The sequence below is a fragment of the Homo sapiens genome, chromosome 3, assembly GCF_000001405.40.
Source record: "Homo sapiens chromosome 3, GRCh38.p14 Primary Assembly".
Taxonomy (NCBI): Eukaryota; Metazoa; Chordata; class Mammalia; order Primates; family Hominidae; genus Homo; species Homo sapiens.
The window spans coordinates 97,376,455-97,391,754 of record NC_000003.12 but is presented as its reverse complement, the minus strand read 5'-3'; the positions used below and the strand labels follow the sequence as shown (position 1 = coordinate 97,391,754).

Genomic DNA, 15,300 nt, shown 5'->3' with positions numbered 1-15,300 from the left:
CCAGACTAGCTTAAGGCTTCTTTGATAACTTCAGATGGAATTGGCTTTTATGTCTGAATTCCTAGAACATTTACTCTCTATTCCTTGTGACATCCAGCAATTGACTGCCCTTATCTGAAGCTCTTCTATTCCTCCTTATATTATAGAATATACACAAATATATTGTACCGCACTTTTCTACTTCCTATGCTCTTTCACATACATTGAATAACTTAATATACACTGTAACTTAGTAGGTACAGCACTTCTCATTTTAAAGGTGAAGAAATAGGATCAGCCTGGAAAAGACTTACCCAAAGTTATGTAACATGTAAAGAACAGACTTCTGACTGAAGTCTAGCACTTACAAACTGTACTGTACCAACGGTGCTAAATTTAAAGATAGAAACCGCCCACGGGACCTAGTATGGTGCCATACAAACACATTAAGTAGCTTTCATTTGACTATCTTTTATATTCAAAATGTTTAAAACTTGTTTAAGGTCTTTCCAGACAATTGTCATGCCCTCTGAACTTTTGTTCTATAAATCCTCTATGACACCATATAAGCACAGTCCAATTGATTTATGTACTCCATGCATATGACCACCATTTTATGAAAGTAGAATTAATGTAAAAAAGTAAAAAAAAGATAATTATAATAATGATAATAGTAATGCCAGAAAATAAAGGAAAGGTTATTTCAAAATGGTGAGAGTTTGAACATGCAGTATTGATTTAAAAAATAAAACACATTATGCTATGATTCTATTGTGTAATAGTAAATGCTACCTTGGGTTTGTTTCTTGGATTATCAATATTTCCCATTATTTAACAGTTTCATTTTAAAAATTATTTGGATTGGGAAACAAAAGCAAAAATATTCCGAATGATTTGATTGTTGGTTGAAAATGCCCCAGTATCAATTGCCTTTTCACTAATTCTAAACCCATTCTTTCTCATCACCCTTGTAGGGCCTCCATCCCATGAACTGTCATCTCCTTTTCCTAGATACAGTTTAATAACTCTTGATCAGTAAAATTCTAATTGGTGAAATTTTGCTGAGTTCCATAGATTTTGTAGGATATCACAGCTTACCCTAAGATTCTACATAATGTTTTCTGTATACTCCAGCTATAAAATATTTTTAAAATGTGCATTTTTGTGTTTTTATCTCTATTGCTTTTTGGGAGTAGAAGCTATACACATAATACAATATGTATATGTGTGTGTATGAATAATTATATTATTCATAATTTATGAAAATAGTTTAAAGGGAATATAATTTATATATACACACAGCGTATATATATAATATATATATATGAAATTCCTTCTGGAATATACATATCATATATCTATGGGATATATATTCCAGAAGTCACAGAAAGGGAGAACGTGCTCATACTGCTGGCTACTGAAGGGAATGCTGAATGATCTTGTCACAGTGGTTCAGGGAGATGCTGGTATTCCTGCCAGTTCACCAGAATGGGGCTGCAAAACTGCTTTTGTTCTCTCATTAAAGGAATAATGCAATGCAACAGCAAATTCACTGCCATTGTTTCTGGTTCAAGCCCATAGAAATAAATCTTGAATCTTCCTTAATGGACGTAGTCTTTGTGTCAGACAAGTAGCCAGGTGTTTTCACAGCTGCCTTGAAACATTCATGGCTTCCTGAGGATATGGGTCATTTTGTTCTCATCATTGATCAAATAGCAGAGTAAATCACTGAGGTAAAGTAACACCTGGCTGAGCCCTGTGTTTTACCCTCATTTTCTCTAGTTAGTAATTGTTGTTCACAAATCACTTACTACATGCAGAGAAGAAGTTTGTGTTTTCTCATGTTGGCTGCTAGCTCATAATTTCAACTTCATGTTCTCACAGTAGCTTCAAAAGCATTCAGGGCATATGTTTCATTTTTTTCCCCTGATTTTTGTGACATCTTTGTTAAACATAACATTGCTTCACATTTATTGCATAAGTTAATAGGATTACAAAGAATTTTAAAACCAAAAATGTGCTAATTATTATTCAAAATGAATAATATTGAAAATCTTTGCCACATTTTCATACTTTACTTAAAATGCAACATGTTGTGCTATATAATCTTTCATTTTATGTTCTAAATTAATTTCTAAGGAAAAATACAGAAAGTTCAATGTAATGTTTTTAAACCTTGTAAAACCTTTTAAACCTTGTACAAATACATTTACAGGGTTTGTTTATGCAATCAAGAAATATTTGTTTTCTTACAATTATGATAAATTATATAGTAGGTATGAAAATAAATATAATGTAACATTAATTTCAAAAAATAAATATTATAATTCAGCAACATCTAACTCCAACATTCAAGTTACATTAGGTCACGTATAAGGGAGTTATTGAAAAATGAGATAATATAAATATCTGACATGTGCAATGCTGACCAGCACACATCATGACCATATCAACTATATTCAGCCAGTACTGCTCCAACTGGCTAGTGCCTATGCCATAAAGTTTTAAAGTATTTTGAGCATCATTCTGAGTGTATGCACTACTACTGTCTTTAATAATTTTAGAATTATATCATTTGCTTTAATTCTTATCATGTTCTTCTGCTTTGAATTGAGAGACCAATTTTAATCAATGGTCAGTTTTTTACTATTTATATACTAATTTGTATGAATTTGTCTTTGATTTGTATTTGTAGCCTGTTAGTTCCCTTTCCCTGCTTCTTAAGGAAGCCAAATCTTTTCTTAAAGACAAGTAACCTATCAGGCTCAAAATGGGCCCACAACAGCTATCAACTAACAAATGGCCTCTGATTGCTGGACGTTTTGTTTTTCAAATATCCACAATGATGGTGTTTCCTGGCCTAACACTGTGCTGCAGAAAAAACCTCAGAATAGCTGTGCAGATCAGTTTCCTTACTTTAGTCACTATCTCCCTGCATTCTTGGTTGTCCTACTCCCTCTACACTTAATATATGCCATTGTCCAGATTCATTTTGAAAGGCTCCAGAATATATCTGTGATGAGGATCTTTTTCCCCCAAACTTCCTTTATCTGCCTGAAAGCAGAGAATTTCCAAAGAATTCAGCTGTCATAAATCCCCTCCCCAGTTTAGTAGCCGAGGAAGATTGCCTCCCATTACCAAAGAGAAGAAGTCAGCAATAGGATAAGAAATCATCTAAACAGACATTATCACAAAACTATCATATCTCTCACCCATCCTCCTATGGGCCCATTTGTCTTTCTTAAAAGTCATTTTTTTTCCCATAAGAATTGTTATCCTCTCCTCTTTCCTTGTTAAGATTGTATATAAACCCCCAATTCTAACTTCCTAACTCCCTCCTCGAGTCCCATTTCTCTGTGAACACCTTTGTACATATAGAAGTAAAACTCTATTTGCTCACTGACCTGTCTTTTGTCCATTTAATTTGCAGCCCCTAAATCACTGAACTAAGAAGATTAAAAAAAAAAGTTTTCTTCTCCAACAGTTTTAATGCAATAAGCATGGTTTCAATGCTAGTGGCATAATCGTGGATGGTTTTGTTGTCTCTGAAGTTTTAATGAGAAAGACTGACTGAAATACATGTATCAAAAAGCCATTTCATGATATGGATAAGGAAAGCTTAGTGATATGGTTTGGCTTTATGTACACATACAAATCTCATGTTGAACTCTAATCCTTGATATTGGAGGAGGGGCCTGGTAGGAAGTGATTGAATCATGGGGGCAGACTTCATTTGTGCTGTTCTCGTGATTGTGCATGAGTTCTCATGAGATCTGGTTGTTTAACAGTGTATAGCACTTCCCCCTCATTCTCTCTCTTCTGCCAGCCATGTGAAGATGTATGTGCTTCCCCTTCACCTTCTGCTATGACTGTAAGTTTCCTAGGGCCTCCTCAGAATCAGAGTCCTGAACAGCCTGCAGAACTGTAAGCTGATTAAACCTCTTTTCTTCATAAATTACCTAATCTCAGGTATGTCATTATAGGAGTGTGAGAATGGATTAATACAGAAAATTGGTAATGAGAGTGGTGAATTGCTATAAAGATACATGAAAATGTGGAAGTGGCTTTGGATCTGGGCAACTGGCAAGTGTTGGAACAGTTTAGAGGGCTCAGAAGAAAACAGGAAGATGAGGGACAGTTTGGAACTTCCTAGAGACTTGTTAAATTGTTGTGACCAAAATGCTGATAGTGATATGTACAGTGAAAAGCAGGCTGATGTGGTTTCAGATGGAGATGAGCAACTTATTGGGAACTGGAGCAAAGGTCACTCTTGCTATGCTTTGGCAAAGAGAATTGCAGCATTGTGCCCCAGCTCTAAAAATCTGTTGAACTTTGATCTTGAGAGAAATGATTTAGGGGTATTTGAAGAAGAAATTTCTAAGCTGCAAGGCATTCAAGGTGTTGCCTGGCTGCTTCTAAAAGCTTATGCTCAATTGCATAAGCAAAAAAAAAAAAAAAACTGAATTGTAACTATTATTTAAAAGGGAAGCAGAAGTTGGGAAAATTTGCAGTCCCATCATGTGGTAGAAAGGAAAAACTCATTTTCTGGGAAGTAATTCAAGCTAGCTGCAGAAATTTGCATAAGTAAATAGAAGCCAAATGTTAATAGTCAAGACAATGGGGAAAATGCCTCCAAGGCATTTCAGAGACCTTCTTGGCAGCCCCTTCCATTACAGGCCTGGAGGCCTAGGAGGGAAGAATGGTTTTGTGGGCCAGGTCGAGGGCCCCTCTGCTCTGTGCAGCCTCAAGACATGGTGCTCTTCATCATGACTGCTCCAGCCATGGCTAAAAGGGGGCCAAGGAACAACTTGGGCCATTGCTTCAGGGGGTGCAAGCCCCAAGCCTTGGTGGCTTCCACATGGTGTTAAGACTGGATGCACAGAGGGCAAGAGTTGAGACTAGAGAGCTTCTGCCTAGATTTCAGAGGATGTATGGAAACACCTGGATGTCCAGGCAGAAAGTCTGTTGCAGGGGAAGAGCCATCATGGAGAACCTCTACTATGGCAGTGCAAAGGGCAAATGTTGGGATGGAGCCCCAACACAGAGTCACAACTGGCACAGTGTATAGTGGAGCTGTGAGAAGTGGGCCACCATCCTCCAGACCCCAGAAGAGTAGACCCACTGACAGTTTGTACTGTGTGCCTGGAAAAGCTGCAGACACTCAATATCAGCTTGTGAAAGCAGTGAGGAAGGGGGCTGTACCTTGCAAAGCCACAGGGACAGAGCTGCCCAAGGCTGTAGAAGCCCACCTTTTGCATCAGTGTGCCCTGGATGTGAGACATGGAGTCAAAGTAGATCATTTTAGAACTTTGAGGTTTAATGACTGCCCTATTGGATTTTGAACTTCCATGGGGCCTGTAGCCCCTTTGTTTTGGCTAATTTCTCCCTCTTGGAATGGGTGTATTTACCCGATGTCTGTACCCTTATTATTTCTTTTATTCAAATTTTCTGTATTAGTCCATTCTCACACTCCTATAATGACATACCTGAAATTAGGTAATTTACGAAGAAAAGAGGTTTAATCAGCTCACAGATCTTGAAAGTAACTAAGGTTTAATCAGCTCACAGTTCTGGAAAGTAACTAAGACTTTTTTTATTTCTCAGGCTCATAGGTGGAAGGGAGCTACTTTGTCTCAGATGAGACTTTGGACTTGGACTTTTGAGTTAATGCTTGAATGAGTTAGAACTTTGGGGGACTGTTGGAAAAACATGATTGTGTTTTGAAATGTGAGAAGGACATGAAATTTTTGAGGGGCCAAGGGTGGAATGACGTGATTTGCCTCTCTGTCTCCACCCAAATCTCATGTCAAATTGTAATCTTAAATGTTGGTGAAGGGGCCTGGTAGGAGGTGATTGGATCATGAGGGCAGACTTCCCCCTTGCTGTTCTTGTGATAGTGCACGAGTTCTCACAAGATCTGGTTGTTTAACACTTTTGTTTAAAAGTGTGTAGCACTTCCCCCTTTGCTCTTTCTCTCCTGCCAGCCTTGTGAAGATGTGCCCACTTCCCCTTTGCATTCTGCCATGAATGTAAGTTTCCTGAGGCTTCCCCAGAAGCAGGAGCCTGTACAGCCCACAGAACTGTGGGCATATTAAACTTCTTTCCTTTGTAAACTACCCATTCCCAGGTATGTCTTTATAGTAGTTTGAGAATGGACTAACACACTTAGATAAAGAAATATTTGGAGGCATTACAGGGAACTCCATAGGGCACACAATTTAAGAAGCAAAGCTCTATAGATAGTGAGTCTTTGAAACAAACCTGGGTCTAAACTTCTTACCTCTTTTCACCTTATGATTATCTCTGTGTAATTTTTCCCTAAGTACATACTATGTCCTTTTATTCTAGATTATGTTATGTCTTTTTGTTATAAGAGTATATATTTAAATAGAGTTATTACAATATAGATTATCTTGATATGCATTTAATGTTAGAATTTCTGAAGAAGGTCTATGGGTTCATAAGTATATTGAGTGACTTGGTTCAAATGTGCCTTTTCAATGTGTCCACATAAAGTAAAGATACTTAAATAAGACCCTTGAATATAATTCTTAAATATCTTTCTTGGTCTCTTATGTAAAATGGCCTCCACATCAAAAGATACTAATTTTTATGGTTATAAAAGAATAAATTATAGATTTTGTCAAGATTGATAAAGCTATGATGAGCTGGATCTAGTTCTCATCAGTTTGCCAGAACCTACTGTGTCCATCTTTTCCCCACTCTGTGTTCAGCAACTTAGTCTGGTAGCTTTAAATCAGCCATGATGAAGGTATTTATACTACAACTTGGTAAACACTGCAAATCAGGCCTTTAAAAAATTATTTTTACCCTGGGAGAGCTAGTTTTTAAACACTCATCAGCATATCACTGCTCATAACTCAGTACTTTATTTACCAAACTTAGTGTGGGTTTAACAGAGTTCTTCAAGATGTTGATATATTTGCCATGAAGAAAATATTCTATAGTCAACTATGTTTGGGAAATGCTGAGTCAAGCAAAATTGTAAATATCAAAAAAGGGGGAAATAGTATGATGTTTCTATTATTTCATGTTATCTAAAATAAAAAAATTACCATATTCATAAATTCTTTGGATATTGGAATACTACTTTGGGAAAAAATATTAGATTAACCTTTCAAAAGTTTATTCTGTTGACTCAGGCTCAAGAGTTTGAATTGACTACTGCTATGTTGGCACATGTCAGGAGGACAGTAAAGTGTTTCAAACTTTTGAAATAATACTAGGTTTCCTCTCCATTGAAATATGTTAGTAACCATTGACAGGCTAAAGCTACAAATGAGTGAATGAGTGGGGATGGCAGGAGAATCAGAATAGTCAGCCCAGGCTCTACTACATATGGCAGCACAGTGCTGTAATTAAGCATAGGGGATTTGAAGCCAGGCTACTTGGAACTGAATCCCAGCATTGCTTCTCACTGGTCATGAGACTATCATCACTTTAGGTAACTTCTCTGTTTCCTTCATTTCTTCTTCTAAGAACTTGAAATAATAATATAATATCCAACATTCAGGTTGTGAGGAATATGTATATTATTTCATTTAAAGTACTTAATGCCTGACACATGGCAACCACTCAAAATAGTTGGCTTGTTATTATTGTTGTGGACGAAAGACAACATTGAATAAACATTATAATAGTCATAAAACAGCCATTTCACTTAACCTTATAGATTTTCCAATAGTCAACATTATAAATCTAGAAAAAAACTTACATATTCTACATACTGAAATGCCATATAGAAAACAATTTATTTCTTCATATGTGAGAGAGTTTTGTCAAATATTTCCCAAAGATATTTTTCAAAATTGAATATCTCTGGTATATGCATTTGCTACCTTGGAAATCATTTTCCAGAAAATTAGATGTTTAGGATTTTAATAAATGTTATACAAGTAAAGGATTTTGTAGTTAAGTACCTTTTGGAGACACTAGATTGCAAAAAGCCAAACAAGTTTCCTTCTTGAAGGAATTATCAGAGCTTTTAATGTTCTACTTTACTTCCTATGTGGTGAGGATAGTAATATACTGCGCACATTTCCTTAACTTAATTGACCAAGGAATCACTTTTTGGAAAAGCATTTTACAGGACTAATCCTCTATAGAAATACTTTGGGGGAATGCTAATCTAGAAGATTAGTCTAGGAAGTTTAAACATTTATTCAAACTAATATACTTTCTCGCAATTCTCCAGATCATGTTAATTGTACATCAGTGAATAGACATAAAAATTTCATGTCATCCATTGGTACTTGATTAACTGAAAATACTTGGCTAGAAATCATGCCAATAAGCTGGAATTTCGTTTTCAGGGCATGTTTTCAATGAATATTACCAATAATATGAATTTGGCATTTTACTTGTTTTAATTCTATAAATACTTGTTAGCCAAATATGGGTAATGCCCTTCATTCAGTGTTTCCGGATATGTTCAGTATATGTCAGAGAGTTTTGGCAGAATATAGACATAATTTCCACAATCAGAATGCAATTACTCCTTTTCCAGGGATAGGCTATGTCAATGTCCCTATTAAAACCAGATTTTTATAGAGAGATCACTATAAAAAATATTAGTAAGTCCACAGCTTATTTTCCAAATCAACATATTGAGGTCCTAATTAGTCTTTCAATACTACAGAATCAACTCCTAACTCTGAGTCAGGCCATTCAGTAAATTACTGATTAAATGCATCGGTGGTATCCTATGACTTCAAAAATTAATGTGGCACTTTTTTGGGGACCAGATGATACCTTATTTGCTAAAAGGGTATGGTTGAATAAATGGTCATCTTAGCAAACTTTTAAATCTTCAGGACATGAGTAGATGACATCTTGCTACCTTAGTTATTATTATTTTCTGTAGATACATTATCATTAGGTACTACTTTCTTTTTTCTCAAGAATACAAGGACTGAAGCTAAAAGCATAAATACTAAAATTGAACCTAGATGGCTTCAATATGGTTCATTTGGTTTAAAATTATCTAATTCATGTTTCCCTTTGTTTTCAACATATTGAAAACTGTGGTATATTTGACTGATTGTATTTTCATAAAGTCTCTTTTTGTATATAACTGAATTGCTGATCCATCTTTGTAAGAGTCGTCAGGTGGTAGACTATATGAGTAATGCAGATCACTAAAGTTAAAAATGCTTTAGTTATTTGAAAGAGCACATCAATTGAGCACTACTGGGTATACCGAAGTCAGGGTGGATCCTAATTGCTTTGACAAATATTCTGCTGGGAAATTGATCTTCAAAAATTCCTTAATGCCTTTTGAAAAAATAAACCACTTACTTCATTTAAAACTTCAAAGTCTTCCTTTCTATTAATTATCACATATACTAGCAAACACAAAGAACAAAATGCTATGTTTTATTCATCTAAGCAGGGCATCTAAACACCAAGTTACAGCAAAGATGGGAACTTATTGAAGAAAAGGTCATCCTCTGTCAAACAAGACCATAAGAGGCTTTTCTTTTAGTAGAGAATTCATGAATATTTTATCTGAACATTTCCATGAACTTGCTATAAAAGCTATGTTTCTTGGCATTTACTGGGGATGTCAAAATCAGTTACTGTAATTTAAATCTTCTGCTAATACTGTATACTTATCAGACTCATTTAAAACATGCTCATCATGCATACAATAGTTTATTTAAAATATACATTTCTAAATAGTTAACATTATAGATATTTAAGCTTTGTAAAATCCCATTTGACATTGTTTGTAAATAAATATTACCTTTGTTATAATACAAACATGAGAGACTACAGAAAATAAGAACAATAAAGTAATTCATAATTTAATTATCTATAACTGAATGGGAACAGAATAATTTCTTTATTAAGTGCGTCCCATGTTTAGGTTAAGTGCTAAGCAGTCTTTTGGACTCTGAATGGTGAAAGGATTGTAAGCTGCTCAACCAAAAAATAATCACAGCTCACAGCTGACTAAAAGTTTCTTTAATTTAATTAGGCATGATTATTTGATGCTCCAGGATACCTCTAACATTTTTAAGTCATGACAAAATGTTGCATTTGTATATGATGTACACATTAGCAAAACCTCTAAACCTGCTAGTAATTTCACTTGCTGAAAATCAAAAAATGCTTTTGAGTGTGCACATAATTGGCCTTATGAAGAAGACAGAGCAATCAAGAGAAGCAGGGTATTTGTCTCTTTAACTTAACTTTTCCGCATGTGATGTGGTTTACCTAATAGGGGTGTATAATGTAGGATTTAAAACAGTCAAATCTGGAGCTAAATTTTCTTTAATTTGAATTGTGGCTCAGCAGATTCACTCTTGGCAATTCACTTATTTTTTCTATGCCTAATTTTCTCATCTATAAACTGGAAATACTAATAGTGTCTATGTCACAGGGTTTTTAAAGGCAATTTAGTGACTTCAGTGAAGTTAAGTGACTAGCTCAGTGCTTGGAATATAATAGGTATCAATAATAAATAAATAGGCTATTAATTCTCATTATTATGCTAATAAATATTTTCAGAAATTTTATATAATAGCTATATTTTGAGAAAATGTTTATTTTATGTATTTCTTTTAGCTCAAATGCCCTCAAGTGTATTTTCATTAAAATGTGCTTTGTTTCTTTTCAACTATAAGCCAACTAAAATATTTATATTACAAGCTTAAAAATTTTTGAAAATTAATAGAATTCCTATGGTATGTTAAAGCCAACTTAGTCTAAAATTAATAATAAAGGTCAAGAAGAAAATGCTACTGTCTTGAAAGGAAAATTGACTAGATTTAAGAGAAAAAGCATCTATATGAGAGAAAGTTGCCTTTACAATCATGAATAAAATAAAACTATGCTACAATAAAACTAATACATTATAGATAATGCTCTTTGAAATTGTGACAAGTGATGAAGCAGATGTTGTTTTAATTATGGGAGATTGCAGACAGAATAATATATCTAAAAAGGAAATTAAAAGTTTTTCACTATTACAATATTATTAAGATGGATATTTGGCTACATAAATCAACTGTAATTATTTCTTTATAATGGATTCTCAGACAAGTTACATTTTTTAAATATACTGTGATTAGCCAATATGAGTATTAAAATCTGACCTCATCATAGCTGAAATGTGTCAGAAAGTACCTTTTTCCTTTAAGAGTAAATGGGTATCCATTGTATATCTCAGACTGTTTCCATTTTCTTCACGTAAGAAATGCAACTTGTCTGGACAAGAAAGTCTTGTGGCACATTTCCCCCCTCACCACCCTGTGTTCCTGAAGCCCAAAGGGATCCACGGTAATGAGTTAGGCATTCTGTGAATTCCTCATCTTGTGTGCACTATATTGTACACATAGGTACATATATGTATACTCATTTCTTCAAGTGGTCAGTGACTTCCAGAAGGTAAAGAAGTCTATGTCCAGGGAACATCTTTTAGTTTTTATTCTACCCGAGTATAGATCTGATTATCTTTTCTTTTTTCAATAACTTTTTTTCTATCACAAAATCTGTAAGATATATTTTTTAATATCCTTGTGTTGAATAAATATACACTGAAACAAACAAAACATGTCTTCAGATCATGTCTAGGCAAACATTAATGCAGAAAATCTTTTAATTCTGCAGACAGATCAGGTATTAAAGGTCTGTTTTCAATTACAGTTTCGTCTCTACTCCTGGATTCTTCCTAAGGAGCACCAATATGCTAGAATTGTTCTCTATCTCCCATGAACTCCTGTTTCACTGCTTTAATACGTTTCCTATTTCTGAAAATCCTGGATGAGCTTTGCAAATTTGTCTGCCACATTATTAGTTTGATTTGTCATTTCTATGTGTTATTTCCTCTTATGGCAACTTTTAAAATTCTTTATCATGTATCATTTTTCTGATGTCTGTAATTAGTTCATCTATCTCTCATTTAATATCCAAAAAGCATAAAGTTTTTACTTTATGGTTTTTCTCCCTTGAGATCAAAGCACATCCTTTCTAATTTTTTTTTTTTTTTTTTTTTTTTTTGGGGAGACAGAGTCTCACCCTCTTGCCCAGGCTGGAGTGGAATGGCACGATCTCAGCTCACTGCATCCTCTGCCTCCCAGGTTCAAACAATTCTCCTGTCTCAGCCTCTCAAGTAGCTGGGATTACAGGTGCCTGCCACCATGCCCAGCTAATTTTTGTATTTTTAATAGAGATGAGGTTTCACCATGTTGGTCAGGCTGGTCTCAAACTCCTGACCTCATGATCCACCCACCTCAGCCTCCCAAAGTGTTGGGATTACAGTCGTGAGCCACCATGCCCAGCCCTTTTTAAAATCTTAAACATCTTTAAATAATATTTGTTTCTAGATTCTCTAGAAAAAAAAAAGATTTTCAGAGGTTTGAACTGCTTCAATTATGTATATGTTATTTCTCCTAGTTCTGAAGCATTTCTGATTAGTCATTGTATTAGTCTGTTTTCACACTGCTGATAAATACATACACAAGACTGGGAAGGAAAAGAGGCTTACTTGGACTTTCAGTTCCACATGGCTGGGGAGTCCTCAGAATCATGATGGGAGCTGAAAGGCACTTCAAGAAAAAATGAGGAAGATGCGAAAACCATCAGATAGTGTGAGACTTATTCACTACCTTGACAACAATATGGGGGAAGCCACCCCCATGATTCAAATTATCTCCCACTTGGTCCCTCCACAATATGTGGCAATTATGGGAGTACAGCTGAAGATGAGATCTGGGTGGGGACACAGAGCCAAACCATAACATTCCACCCTGGCCCCTCCAGATCTCATGTCCTCACATTTCAAAACAAATCATGCCTTCCTAACTGTCCCCCAAAGTCTTAACTCATTTCAACATTAACCCAAAAGTACACAGTCCAAAATCTTATCTGAGACAAGGCAAGTCCCTTCTGCCCATCAGCCTGTAAAATCAAAAGCAAGCTAGTTACTTCCTAGATACAATGGGGGTACAAGTACTGAGCAAATACAGCCGTTCTACATGGGAGAAATTGGCCAAAACAAATGGGTTACAAGGCCCATGAAAGTCTGAAATCCAATGGGGCAGTCAAATTTTAAAGCTCCAAAATGATCTCCTTTGATTCCAGGTCTGACATCCAGGTCACACAGATGCAAGCGGTGGGTTCCCATGGTCTTGGGCAGCTCTGCTCCTGTGGCTTTGAAGGGCACAGTCTCCCTTCTGGCTGCTTTCATGGGCTGGCATTGAGTGTCTGCAGCTTTTCCAGGTGCACAGTGCAAGCTGTAGGTGGATCTACCATTCTGGGGTCTGGAGGATGGTGGCCCTCTTCTCACAGCTCCACTAGGTGGTGCCCCGGGAGGGACTCTGCGTGGGGGCTCCGACCCCACATTTCCCTTTCGCACTGCCCTAGTAGAGGTTCTCCATGAGAGCCCTCCCCTGCAAATGTACAATCCAGGCATTTCCATATATTTTCTTAAATCTAGGCAGAGATTCCCAAACCCCAATTCTTGACTCTGTGCACCTACAGCCTCAGAACCATGTGGAAGGTGCCAAGGCTTGGGGCTTGCATCCTCTGAAGCCACAGACTGAGCTCTGTGGTGGCACTTTTCAGCCATGGCTGAAGGGGCTGGGACGCAGGGCAACAAGTCCCTAGACAGCACACAGAATGGGGACCCTGGGCCCTGCCCATAAAACCATTTTTTCCTTCTAGATCTCCAAGTCTGTGAAGGGAGAGGCTGCTGCAAAGGTCTCTGACATGCCCTGGAGACATTTTCCCCATTGTCTTGGGGATTAATGTTTGGCTCCTCATTACTTATGCAAATATTTGCTGGCAGCTGGAATTTCTCCTCAGAAAATGGGATTTTCTTTTCTATCACATTGTCAGTCTGCAAATTTTCCAAACTTTTATGCTCTCTTTCCCTTTTAAAGTGGAGTGCTTTTAACAGCACCCAAGTCACCTCTTGAAAGCTTTGGTGCTTAGAAATTTCTTCTGCCAGATACCCTAAATCATCTCTTTCAAGTTCAAAGTTCTACAAATCTGTAGTGCAGGGGCAAAATGCCGCCAGTCTCTTTGCTAAAACATAACAAGAGTCACCTTTGCTCCAGTTCCCAACAAGTTCCTCATCTCCATCTGAGACCAACTCAGCCTGAATTTCATTGTCCGTTCATTACCAGTATTTTTGTCAAAGCCATTTAACAAGTCTCTAGGAAGTTCCAAACTCTCCCATATTTTTATGTCTTCCTTGTCCTCCAAACTGTACCAACCTCTGCTTGTTACCAAGTTCCAAAGTCACTTCCACATTTTCAGGTATCTTTTCAGCAACAGCCTACTCTACTGATACCAATTTACTGTATTAGTCTGGTGTTTTCATGCTACTGATAAAGAAATACCTGAGACTGTGAAGGAAAAGAGGTTTAATTCTACTTACAGTTCCACATGGCTGGGGAGGCCTCAGAATCATGGTGGGAGGCGAAAGGCACTTCTTATATGGTGGTGGCAAGAGGAAATGAGAAATATGCAGAAGCAGAAACCCCTGATAAAACTATCAGATATCATGAGACTTATTCACTACCATGAGAACAGTATGATTCAAATTATCTCCTATTGAGTCCCTCCCACAACACGTGGGAATTGTGGGAGGACAATTCAAGATGAGATTTGGGTGGGGACACAGAGTGAAACCATATCAGTCACATAATGGCCTTTGTTGTTGTTAACTTCCCAATTAATGGATTATCTCCAAGATTTAGCATTACACAGTGCAGGAGAATCATATTTGTTCCACTTTCGTCCATGTGAGTTGTGGTTTAATTTACTTAGACACTGAGCTAATACAGGTGGATATGCCTGGATTTTCAGATTCCAGATGGTTTTTATCAGATATAGTTCTACTAAATATTCTGATATTCCCATGACCTGTGTATTTGGCAGTCTGAAAATGTGGAATCTGCATCATGAAATCATGAACTATTACTTACTTTCTGTCTCCCTCACCTTGCCTTCAGCATAATCCATTATTTCTTAGCATTGTTCTCTTACTTTCTAATTTTCTGTTGAGTATAAATCCCTCAATGAATGTAGAAAATAATGACCTGAGCAGGAATCTTGCTGTCTCATTGAAGCAGCACCCACCAGTGCAGAAGTGACTGTCCAGTGTTCTGGTTTAGAACTTGCATTTCTGAATCAAAATTAGACTATGGGAAAAGCCAAAAGCTCTCTTTCAGAAAAAGAAGTCAACAGTAAGATTACTCAATCCATCTCTTTCTGCCTTAGAGATTTAGAGAATCTTTCTGATTCTGATAACATACTGTTAGCCTAATAGACTGTATTCCTGTGCATGTT

At 36.5% G+C, this 15,300-nt stretch overlaps 1 protein-coding gene and 1 long non-coding RNA gene across 18 annotated transcripts in view, besides 2 other annotated features; one reads left to right on the top strand and one right to left on the bottom strand.

The window, feature by feature from the left end:
* Window positions 1-15,300, bottom strand: part of EPHA6 (EPH receptor A6) — a 946,939-nt gene that overhangs the window by 369,778 nt on the left and 561,861 nt on the right. The gene's annotated exons all lie outside the window — the stretch shown is intronic.
* The window catches only part of LOC101929278 (uncharacterized), a 114,015-nt gene that overhangs the window by 23,329 nt on the left and 75,386 nt on the right, over window positions 1-15,300 (top strand). The window lies entirely within an intron of this gene.
* Window positions 1,331-1,902: an enhancer, noted in NCBI's record as "OCT4-NANOG hESC enhancer chr3:97108697-97109268 (GRCh37/hg19 assembly coordinates)". NCBI's record gives its function as "activates a minimal SCP1, AML or CMV promoter by ChIP-STARR-seq in primed H9 embryonic stem cells {active_cell/tissue: H9 hESC(primed)}" and the evidence as "EXISTENCE:reporter gene assay evidence [ECO:0000049][PMID:30033119]".
* Window positions 2,539-3,099: an enhancer, noted in NCBI's record as "OCT4-NANOG hESC enhancer chr3:97107500-97108060 (GRCh37/hg19 assembly coordinates)". NCBI's record gives its function as "activates a minimal SCP1, AML or CMV promoter by ChIP-STARR-seq in naive H9 embryonic stem cells {active_cell/tissue: H9 hESC(naive)}" and the evidence as "EXISTENCE:reporter gene assay evidence [ECO:0000049][PMID:30033119]".